Genomic DNA, 12,335 nt, shown 5'->3' with positions numbered 1-12,335 from the left:
CCCAGCCCTCCCGAACTTCTTGCCAGGACCGTGATGATTTGACAGGTGTGTCATGAGATGCTGGTGGCAGTCCAGGGTCCCCCCAGGAACGGCAGGGCACCTCTCTTGTCCTCACTTAATTAAAATGTGTCCCTGACGGGGCCGCGGTGCATGGCGTTCGCCTGGCGCAGCATCAGCGATTCAACCTTTGCCTGTGGGAGTGAACTCTGAATTTCCAGCCAAGAGGAAGCCTCCAAAGGAAGGGTGGAAATGGGTGTCCCTGGAGGGGAGGCGCCCAGGCTGGGCCCCTGCACACGCTTCCCTCACGGCGCCCGCCTGCACCTGTCAGGTCTCACCTGCAGTGGCCCTGCAGCCCAAGCCCTGCCCCTCCGCCAACCTGGAAGCACCTGTGACGGGCTGCAGTGCCTTTCTTCCTGGAGAGGAGGCACGGACAGCCGCTCCCCACCTGCCCTCCGGCAGGCAAAAGCAGCAGTGCCACAGACGGAAGGGCAGTGTCCTTGGTGAGTTCCTTGCATGGGGCAGGGCCTCCTGGCCTGTGACAGCCAGGCTGGGACTGGCCCTGGAGGCAGATAGAGGGCCCAGTGGGAAATTCTGAGTCCCAGAAGATGGGCCAGGGCTGCCCATGGCAAGGGCCAAGGAGATCGCAGCCCCGCCTGCTGGGCATCGCACACAGGGTTGGCAGAAGCACCCTTGAGGCCAGGCAGGTGCTCAGCCAGGCTGGAAGGTCACAGGCCATAAAGTTGGGCTCACGTTTTATGTCCTGGGGGCTCCTTCCTTGGCACCCTGGAAAACTCCAAATGCCCCAGCTTGGGCCAGCCTGGGGACCCCCCCACCCGGCCCCACTCCCCACTCGGCCACATAAACCCCAAAGCCAGGGCCCTCTTGCTCTCCCAAGCTATTTCCAGACCTTGGGAGCTGCCTTGCTGTCCCCAGAAAGCCCCACCATATGAGTGACAAGCCCTTCACTCCCCCATGGGGTGTGTGTGGTGTCAGAAGCCTCAACATTTGGGCCAAATTTGGGGTGGGGGAGTTCGTCCCATGTCTTAAAGGTGGCCCCTGCCATGGGCATGGTGCTGTGGAGGCAAAGGCAGGGTGTTGGTGGTTGAAGCCAGGCCTGCTCTGCTCCTTTGGGAGCAGGGGCAGTGGATGGGAGGGTCCCATGCAGGAATGAGATTTCAGTTTAGTCTGGTTCTCAGCAGAGAGCTTCAGTTTTGTTTTGTTTTGTTTTGTTTTATTAAATCCCTTCCCCAAATAGAAGAAGGGTCAGCAAAGAAAAGACATGAGGCCAGGTTTGTCCTCAGGTGGGCAGGGGTGCAGTGAGGGCGAGATTGGGGAGGGGCTGAGAGGTGGCGGCTCTGCCTCGTTGGCTTTGGGGTCTCAGCATCTTGGCTTCCATGGTGAGGAGCCGGTAGCTGAGCCCAGACCCCATAGATCCAGCTCAAAGCCTGAAAAACAAGAGCACACGAACATAGGACATGGGCACTCACGCCGGGGATGGAAGCACCGGCCCTGCAGGAGGAGCCCGGTCCAGGGCCAGCTGCCCCAGAGCCAGGCTGGCAGGGGCAGGACTGTGGGGTCGGCCCCTGGCTCCGCCCCGTGCTCGCCAAGCCTCGCAAGCTCCTCTTTGTCTGGATCCAGTCTCCCCATTGGCAGAGCAGGTTTTTTTTTAATTTCTTTAATTTGCTTTGCAAATAACTCTGAATTAAAAACCATATATATCTATTTTTAAAGAGCCACTCTTTCACTCCCTTAGCTAAATTTACACGAGATATTTTTCCCTAGGAAAATTCAATTAGGTTTTTATTTTAGTCATCTAAAAGGCACTGGTGCTTTGAGTGTTTGGTTTTTAATTTAAGCCCTTGGTAGGACATTTCAATTGAAACACTGGGGATGAGAATGACCGGGCTGTTCCGAGGCAGGTGGAGACCCCAGAGGCAGGGCTGGGCAGGGCGGGGCAGGGCCACTGTGCAGGGCTGGGCATCCAATGGGCGGCTCAGACCACCTGGGGACTGACTGAGTTCCTCCACCCTAGGGGCCCCCAGGCACCGGGCGCTGACTCTGGGTGAGAGTCCACGCTGGGCCTGCAGCAGTGAGCCCAACAGGCCACAGAAGAGAGCAGGAGCCAGGAAGCGAGTCCTCCGAGGCCACAGGTCCAGCTGACCCCAAGGCAGGGTGCCTGGTGCAGTGACCCTCAGGCTTCACCCACATGCCCCGGTGGCCTGTTCCAGGGAAAAGGTGGAGTTGCAGCCACTCCTTGGACAAGGAGCAGTAAGGCGTTCTGGAAGTGGCACCTGCAGGCCTGTTCCGGGCTTGTCCTTTGGCTGCAGGGTTTCATCCAGGGTCTCAGCAAAGGCCCCCCCTCAAGTCTGTGCTGAGACAGGCAGCAAGCACGATGCTGAGAAAGGTGTGTGGCTCGTGCAGTTTGCTCAGCAGTTGGGAGGCCTGTCGTCCACTCCACACACGCATCCAGGCTGGGATCTCCACACACGCATCCAGGCTGGGATGGAGGCAGATGGAGCCAGGACATGCCCAGAGGCCCATCCAGGGCCTGACCTGGCACGGGGGACCTTGAGGTCGAAGCTGGGCCTTGCCCCGGGGAACGTGGTGAGAGAAGGGGACTCCCCCAGCCTCAGAGGCCTCAGGTTCCTCTGATGCGTCCTCAGAAGTTTCCTAACCTTGACATGGAAATGCGTCTCCTTCAATGAGAAGAGCCTGCAGTTCCATATGCTCTGAGAGCAGCCCCTCCCTCCCATACCCCTGCCCTCCCCCAAACCCAACATCCAGCCGAGAAGAAGACCTAGAGAGTGAGAACAGGGAGGGGCCACGTCCCAAGCAGGTTAAATTGGTGATACATATGCCTTTATTCGTTGTTTTTATTGCTTTACTTATTACACTTTTTATTCAGAGATTATTGTTGATCCCCAAGCAGCTACAAGAAATAACACAAACAGATCCCATGTGTCCTTCATTCCGTCCCCCCCAGTGGAAACCTCCAGCAAAACTCTAGCACGGTATCCCCACCAGGGTGTTGATGGATGCAACCAGGACACAGAGCACCCACCCCTCAGGGACCCTCAGGGTGCTCTTTTGTAGCTACACCCACTTTTCCTCTCACCCCCTGCACCCACTCCTTAATTTCTGCTAACCACCAGTCTCTTCTTCCCTTTCTATAAATTTGCCATTTCAAGAACGTTATATACATGAAACCATACATACAGTATGTAAGCTTTGGGGACTGGCATTTTTCACTCAGCATAATTCTCTAGAGATTCACCCAGGTGGCTGGACGTGTCACTAGCTCGCTCCTTTTCCTGGCTGAGTGGTGCTCCATGGTGTGGAGGCACCATGGTTTGTCTAATCATTTACCCATCGAAGGACATCTGGGTTGACTTCAGTTTAGGGCTATGGTGAATAAAGCTGCTCTAATCAGTAATGTACATGTTTTATGTGAACATGTCTTCATATCTCTGGAATACAAGACCAGGAATATAACAACTGCATCATAGGGTAATTGAGTTTTTAAAGAAATTGCCAAACTGTCTTTCTAGAGTGGCAATACTGTGTTACATTCCCATCCAGCTTCTCCACATCCTCACCAGCATTTGGTGTTTTCATTCTTTGTAAAAGTTAGTCATTCTGACAGGTGTGTAGTGACATCTCCTTGTGTTTTAATTTGCATTTCCTCCGTAGCTAATGACGTCAAACATCTTTTCATCTGTTTATTTGCCATCTATCTTCTCTCTTCAATGAAATGTCTCTGCAGGGGTCTTGCACATTTTCTAATTGGGTTGTTAAGGTTTGTTTACTGTTGAGTTTTGAGAGTACTTTGTATATACTAGATACTAATCCTTTGTCAGGTATGTGGTTTCAGATATTTTCTCTTATTCTGTAGCTTGTTCATCCTCTTAACAGATTCTATCATAGAGTGACAATTTTTAATTTTGATGAAGTCCAATTTATCAATGCTTCCTTTAAGGACCATGTTTTTGGTGTCAAGTCTATGAACTCTTTGCCTACCCCTAGTTCCCAAAGGTTTTCTCCTATGCTTTTTTCTAAAAGTTTCTTGGATTCACCTGTTACACTTAAACTATTTGTCCAATTTGAGTTAATTTTTGTATAACGTGTGATATGTTTAGACTGAGGCTCTCTTTCTGCTCAAGTAACATTTGCTAAAAGGCTATTTGTCCTCCATTAAATTACTTTTGCACTTTGTGAGATCTCACTTTGTCAAAAATCATTTGGGTACTATTGTGTAGCTCCACTCCTGAGTTCTCTCGTTCTAGTCCATTGGTTTGTGGGTCCATCCCTCAGCCAATTGACCAAATACCACCATCTAGACTAATATAGCTATCTAAAAAGTCTTGAAATTGGATGGCAGGATTTTTTTTTATTCTTTTTCAAAATTGTTTCAGCTATTCTAAGTCTTTCTTGTTTTCGTGTAAATTTTATAATTATCTTGTTTGTGTCTACAAAATAAGCTTGCTGGGATTTTTATAGGAATAGCATTAAACCCACATATCAATTTGGGGAGAATTGGCCTCTTTACTATGTTGTCTTCTAATCCATGAACATAGTCATTCTCTCTACTTATTTATATCTTTGATTTCTTTCATCAATGTTGTATACTGTTCAGCACAAGTCCTGTACATGTTTTGTTGAATTTATAACTATTTCATTTTTTGAGTAGTTGTAAATGGTATTCTATTTTTAATTTCAGCATCTGCATGTTCATTGCTAGGATATAGAAATACAATTGAGTTTTGTATGTTTATCTTGTACACTGAAACTTTGCTGAATTCCTGATTAGTTCTAGGAATATTTTGTCAATTCCTTCAGATTTTCTATGTAGACAACCTCCGCAAGTAGGGATAGTCATATTCCTTCCTTTCAGATATATATACTATGTCTTTTATTTGCTTTCATTGTCTTATTGCAAGAGCTAGAACTTCCAGCACTATGTTGAATAAGAATGGTGAAATTACACATCTTTGACTTGTTCCAATCTTGGGAAAAGAAATTCAGTATTAATTACATAGTTAGTTATAATTTTAAGTATATATATATATACTTGTTCCAATCTTGGGGAAAGAAATTCAGTATTAATTACATAGTTAGTTATAATTTTAAGTATATAAAGTTAGCTGTAGGGTTTTTGTAGATGTTCTTTAGCAAACGAGGAACTTCACCTCTGTCTTAGTCTACTTAGTGTTGTTATAACAGAACCTAAGAGGCTGGGTAATTTATAAAGAAAAGAGGTTTATTTGGCTCACGATTCTGGTGGCTGGAAAGTCCAAGAGCACAGCATCAGCCCCTGTTCAGCTTCTGGTGGGGGCCTTGTGCTATATCGAGACATGGTGAAGCGGGAAGGCAAGCAGGCATGTGCAATGCAAAAGCAAACACAAAGAGAAATCTCACTTTATAGCAACTCACTGTCACAATCACTAACCCAGTCCTGAGAGAAGGAGAATGCACTGTGGTTAGATGGCATTAATCTATTCATTAGGGATCCATCCCCATGACCCAAACACTTCCCATTAGGTCCTACTCCCCAACACCATCATAATAGCAATCAAATTTCAACATGAGTTTTGGAGGGGACAAACTATATTCAAACCGTATCATCCTCTATTCCCAGTTTGCTGATAATTTATCATGAATGAGTGCTGGATTTTGTTAAATGATTTTTCTTCATAGATTGACACTATCATGTGATTTTTTTTTTCTTCTTTAGCTTGTTAACATGATGAATGATATTGACTGATTTCAAATATTAAACCAGCCTTGCATCCCTGGAATAAACCCACTGAGTCATAGTGTATATTCTTTTTATATACTACTGACTTCTGTTTGCTAATATTTTGGTAAGGATTTTATGTCTGTATTCATGAGGGGTTATTAGTTTGTAGTTCGCTTGTTTTTTATACTGTTTTGGGTAATTTTAAAATTTCCTTTGAGATTCTTTTTGATCAATGGACTGTATTGTTTCCAAATGAACTGCTCCATCCACCCCTGGGGCCCCCTATCACTGCCACACTGTCCCTCTCCCTTCAACCACCCCACCCACCACACTCCTGCATGCTCCTAGCACTCCCTGCCACCCTGCCATAGCCCTGCATGCTCCTGGCACTCCCTGCCACCCTGCCATAGCCCTGCATGCTCCTGGCACTCCCTGCCACCCCAAGGCTTTTGCACTTGCCGTGTCCCTGCCTGCAGTGCTCTTCCCTGCCCTGACTCAGTCCCAAAGTCGCTTCCATAGGGGAGCCCTCCCCAAGTTCATCTGTTGCTCTGGGCTTCTATAAAGGATTCCCTACCCAGCCTACATCCCAGCACTGCCAAGGGGCTGCAAGCATGCCAGAGGTGGGCTTCAGGGCCATTTGTTACCTGGAGAAGATGGGCCAGAGCAGGCAATCAGGGGAGGGCAGAGGCAGCTCCACCTGGGGTCACCCCAGGTCTCTTCCTGCTTCTCTTCAGATATGTTTGCAGCCCTGTCCATCTCTCCACACTGTCTCTCCCACAGATCACTCAGGGCTGTCAGGCCCAGAGACCCAGCTTCCTGCCAACTGTGCATAGAGTTGGAGGGGTGCAGCAGAGAGCAATGCCTGGCCACTGCCTACCCCAGAGCAGCCCTCTCCTTGTCCAAACTCTGGACTGCCTGAGGCTGTCCCAGAATCTGCCAAGTGGCCAGGGTGCAGCTCCCTGGGGCCTGGGGCCCAGGATGGAGAAGCAGCTCAACTCGACACAGGGAGGCAAGGCAGCCCCTGTCCAGGTCCCACGTGAAGCCCACGTCCAGCCTTCTCTACAGGGCCCTTCACTCCCCCATGCTAGGGAAGGCTCTAACAAGGGAGGCCCCAGTGGGGCAAGCAAGCTTCTCAGCAGGCAGAGCATCGAGCTGAAGGCCAGACTCTCCAGGTAAGGCATGAGCTCCCTGTCCCGAGGCTGTCTGCTCCAGGCAAGATGTGTCTCGTGCACACTGAGTCTGCAGCCTTGCAGGAGGAGCTGAAGCCCCAGAACGAGCCCTCTCACCTGTGACTTCATCTCCCAGTTGGCATCAGGGCAGGCCTGTGGGAGGTGGGATGGAGCCCACGGCATTGTGCAGATGTGATTCCTCACCTCCAGGAGCACTGGGCAGGTAGGGCTCATGCTGAGGGAAAGAAGTAACAAGACCCCCCATGCCCTGAAGCTTCCCCCAAAGCTGCAGTTGAGGCTATAGGCCCCGCATCTGCATGGGGCCGGGAAGGCTTCCTGCTGGAGGTATGCCATCAGTAGGGTCTCCCAGGACTAGAAGGTGCACAGGAAGACAGAGAGCTTCCGGGCAAGGGGGCTGCTCATGTGAGCCTGGGGGGCAGAGAGGAGGTCCACCCTGGGAAAGACAGTAAGGAAGGGGCCTATGGGGAATGGGGAAGCCTAGGCCTCTCCCAGCTGGCAGTAGGGCTCCCTGCCCCCTGATGTTGGGGCCCTGGAGAATTCTAAGGGGCCCTGGGTCCTGGGGCCCCTCCCCAGCCAGCCTCTATCCAGCTAGGCAGGCAACAGGCAGGGGTGAAATGCTGTTTGACAGGTAGCAAATCGCCTCTCCTCTTATGAGAATAACCCAATTATTTGACAGCGTTTTTCCAATACTCACAACATCTGTCTTTACTGTCTAATTTATGGAATTACCAATTAGCAATGACAGTTTCTGCCTCTCTGAATTGTCCCTGCAGGGTATGGGTCTAATCGTGCTATCATTACGCAGGTGCCCTCAGGAGGGATGCCAGCAGCCCAAGCCTGGGCCTGGTCAGCTGCAGGGCACCAGCACCAGCTGCCGGCCCACAGGGCTCCGGGATAGGGTACCCTCCCCAGGACTTGGCAGATGCTGCCAATCAACTTTCCATTTCCCTTGGGTGGGCAGCCAAGGGGGACTTCTTTGGGATATAGAGCCGTCCTTCTTTGGGATATAGAGCCGTCCTTCTTTGGGATATAGAGCCGTCCTTCTTTGGGATATAGAGCCATCCTTCTTTGGGATCTAGAGCCGTCCTTCTTTGGGATATAGAGCCGTCCTTCTTTGGGATCTAGAGCCATCCTTCTTTGGGATCTAGAGCCATCCTTCTTTGGGATATAGAGCCGTCCTTCTTTGGGATATAGAGCTACGCTTCTTTGGGATATAGAGCCATCCTTCTTTGGGATATAGAGCCGTCCTTCTTTGGGATATAGAGCCGTCCTTCTTTGGGATATAGAGCCATCCTTCTTTGGGATATAGAGCCGTCCTTCTTTGGGATCTAGAGCCATCCTTCTTTGGGATATAGAGCCATCCTTCTTTGGGATATAGAGCCGTCCTTCTTTGGGATATAGAGCCATCCTTCTTTGGGATATAGGGGCCTAATCCGAGACCTCTTTGTGCCCTCTGGCCTCTGGCAAACAGCAAGCCCCATTTCTGGAGGCGTGTGGGCCACCACACAATCAGAATGTGGCCTACATGACTGTGGGGTCCCATCCACTGTGTGACTCTGAGTCCCTGGGCTAGGGGCAGGAAGAGCCCGTGGGCAGGGTCATGGCCCAGGACAGCATGCTCGGGCATGAGGACCCAGTTGAGGGCAGTGACCAGGGTGGCCTGGGGCTGCACAGGGGTCTACCCTGAGGTTTCAAAACGAGGTTGCAGGCTGGGCGGCCGCCAGTCCCTCATGGCCCCACAGCCGTGAGTCACAGCAATCTGCACCATTCAAAGGATTCCAGACTTCCCCAGAGTTGCCCTGAGCCAAGGACAGGGGCCTATCAGCACCCAGCGGATCCGAGCCCCGGGGGAGAGCTCGGCTCAGTGCAGGTGATGGTGTGGCTGGGCTGATGGAGGCCCATGGGCCCAAGTCTGGGGCTCCCACCAAGGAGCCTGCGGCCTGGCCCGGCCCCACACCTGCGCTCCCGAACGCCATCCCTGACGTTCGGACCTTGGTTCGTCTAACTTCTGATTTCCACCCATGACTAATGGCTGTGCCTGCGTTGTCTCGGCATTGGAGCTGGTTCCTCTGGCCCCAGCTGCATAAACAGGCCCAGCCCTGATAGCCCAGGGAAGGGCTGGATGAGGCGATGGCATGGCCAGGAAGCCAGGGAGGGGTCCAAGTGGAAAAACGAGGTGCCGGGCCAGGGGCGGTGCTGAGGTCAGGGCCCAGGGACTGCCCAATGCAGGGTCACTGGGGCAGAGGGCAGCCCCCTCCCCGGCCCTCTCCTGCCCAGGCTGCCAGGCACCTTTGGTGGGATTCCAGCCCCAGCCTCTTGCCCCCTTCGGCTGCCCCACATGGTGTCCGGGTCACCTGTGCCCAGGCGTACCCTCTGAGACCATGTTTGTCCTACTGCCTGGCTTGTGGTGGCAGCTGCAATCCCAACCTCACACCCCATCCTGGCACTGGGCAGGCACCCTGGGGAGCCTGGTCACGGCCCATTTCAAAGACAAGCAAACTGAGGGCCACCCACCAGGGGCATTCATACCCCTGGAACCCCAACAGGGCAGCTCCCAGGAGAGGCCCCCAGGCTGGCTGAATCCCAGACCCTACGGCTCTGGCCCTGCCTGGTACTCCTGTTTGCATGTCAGGATCACTCCCATTCCCACCGCCAGCCCTCTGGCAAGACCACCTGATCTGGCCCACGTCCCCGGCACCCAGAAGGAGGCCCATAAATCTTCCCAGACTGAAGGGACCATGAGCTAAAGTCAGCAGGGGAAAAGGTGGCTCCAAGCAAGGAGAGGAAAACCCACAGACAGCAGCCTGTGGGGCCGTCACCGCCACCACACCCTGGAGCCCCGAGAACCATCACTTCTGCTTCCTGGGAGGACTGAAATGTGGTACAGAGGGAAGCTGATGACTCCAGCACCCCTGCACCCCCCAGGGCCAGGACAGGCCCCTGTAGCCCATGCCTCGCCATCCCATCAGGCGCTCCCTGCTTCTTGCGCCTGGCTGCATGTGCTCCCCTCACCAGCCATGGCACCTTTGTGGCTCACTGCCCCAGCTGCCAGGGCCCTGCAGGAACGCACCACCAGCTCAACCTCTGACCAGCCGGCTCCCAGGTGAAGCCCCTCACGTGCCCTCCGGGCTCCAGCCCAGGTTGTAGTCATGCCCCTGGACTCCCAGGGCCCCGCTGTGCTCGCGACCCGCCCTGGCCACTCACCTCTCGCTCCCTCCTATGCCCCCAGTCCTGAAGTTCCCTCCTGAGCTCACCTCACAGCAAGGGTCGAAAGTCACCGAGCCCACCCCGCTCTGGGCCACACCTCCAACTCTGCAGGGGTCCAGGCCTCATGGCAGAAGCAGCCTCATCCCTCCCAGGAGCCCCCAGAGGGGCTGAAAACTCCAGGAGTCAAGAATCAGCCTCGGAGCCTCACCCCCAGTGCAGGCATGAAAATCCAAGCCTCTGGCGACTAAAGGGGGGATTTTATTCTAGGGACCAAACCACATGCCTGCCTTTGACAAAAGAAATACTGGAGCTGGTGCTTTCAGAGATCCCAGCACACCGGCGCCCCTGCCTGCTCTGCCCTCCCCGCCGCCCACCCTCGCACCAGCCTCCCCAGGCCATCTGCACAGGCTCCAGGCCCTCTTCTGTTTCAGGAGCAAGTCTCAGGGCAGCTACCGGCAAACAGCTGATGAAGGCCCCCATCTCCCAGGGTCAAAACCAGGGTTCAGCTGCCCGTCTGCCCGACAGCTGGTGGCTCTGCCCATGCATCGGGCAGTGCCGACACGGTCACAAAACCTGCTGTGGAAATGACCACTCACTGTGGCCACAAGGGCCCAGCAGACCTGAGCAGGCAAAGGCCCCCGGGCTTCCCCAGGGGAAGGAAGGGGCCGAGGTTTTCTTGTCACATGGTCACTCCCAGATCCTGGCTGCAGATCTCACATCTCGCTGTGGCCCCAAGGATGCAGCAGAGCAGAGTGCTGGGGAGCTGGGAGCGCACGGGAAGTCAGAGTGCTGTGCATGCACACCCTGCACACAGGGCAGCCACACACACACCTGCGGCCAGGCCCAAGTGCAGCGAGACCCTGAGCTTCTCCGAGCCACGTGTGCTCACATCAAGGCGATGCCGTCAAGGCAGAGGCTTTGGCCGAAGCATCCTGCCCCTAAGAGTGAAGGTGAGCAGGCGAGGGGCTGCCACTTGGCGTCTCCAACACAAGGGCTGAGGCCCAAGTCAAGTCCGGGGTCAGGGCTGACACAGCCACCAGGGCCAGGGAGTGGCATGGTGACCTCAGCACCCATGTGACCCTGAAACACAGGTTTCCAGAGCCCTGGGACACCTCCCACCCCGCCCCATCCGCAGCAGCCCAGTTCACAAAGCCGGTGCTCTCAGGGGTTGTGATGGGTCATTACATGTGTCAATGTGACTGGGACACAAGGTGCCCAGACATTTGGTCAAACATGACTCTGGGTATGTGTGAGGCTGCTTCCGGAGGAGATCAACACTGGAGTCAGTGAACTGAGTCCAGCAGGGGTGCTCCCCATGTGGGCGGCCCTGTCTAGTAGGTCGGAGGCCTGCACAGGACAAGAAGGTGAAGCGAGGGAGAACTGACTCTGCTGACTGCTGAGCTGGGACATCTGTCTTCCCCCTTTGGATGGGACTGGAACTCACAGCATTGGCGCTCCTGGGTCTCCAACTTGGCAACGGCACATCCAGTGACTTCCCAGCCTCCATAACCACATGAGCCAATCCCTTATAATAAACACACATCCACACACACACACACACGTGTGCACACACATGCGTACACACATGCATACACACATATGCATACACATGCATGCACACACACACAGGCTCTGTTGGCATTTTTGGAGAACCCTAATACAGGGGTCACCGAAGTCCCTGCCAACCTTGCAGCCACCCCTGAGTCGGACTGCACCTGGCCTCCTCTGTCTCCTCTGCATTATCAAAGAAAGGACAGAGGCAGACTGGTAAGGAGAGGCGTTTATTCAAGAGGGTTACTGCAAGGGGGAGGCGGGCTGTCGCCACAGGTGACACTGGATTGGAAGGGCAATCCAGTGGGAGAATGCCCCCGCCTCACCAAAGGGCTGCAGGCTTCTCCAGGGTAAGGGGAAAGGGCTTCTCTTTTAGAAAGAGGCGTCCACAGAGCTGGGAGGAGGTGGCGTGGGGAAGCGGGGACAGTCTGCAGGACAGAGACGTCAGAGCCAAGCGTGGTTGGCCCTGGTGCGCCTGTTCTCAGGAAGGCATCTGCTGGCTCGAGTGAGGGCAGCCAAGGTTCGGGGCTCGAGGGGAGTGAGGAGCTGAACCGAGGCTGAGTAACACGCCTTTCCTTCCAGTTGAGCAGCCAGTCACTCGTGAGGCCACACAAGAACTCGAGGGCATGTGTCGGGCCTGGCCCTGGAAA

The sequence above is a fragment of the Homo sapiens genome, chromosome 14 (assembly GCF_000001405.40).
Source record: "Homo sapiens chromosome 14, GRCh38.p14 Primary Assembly".
Classification (NCBI taxonomy): domain Eukaryota; kingdom Metazoa; phylum Chordata; class Mammalia; order Primates; family Hominidae; genus Homo; species Homo sapiens.
Note: the sequence above shows the minus strand (reverse complement) of the source record.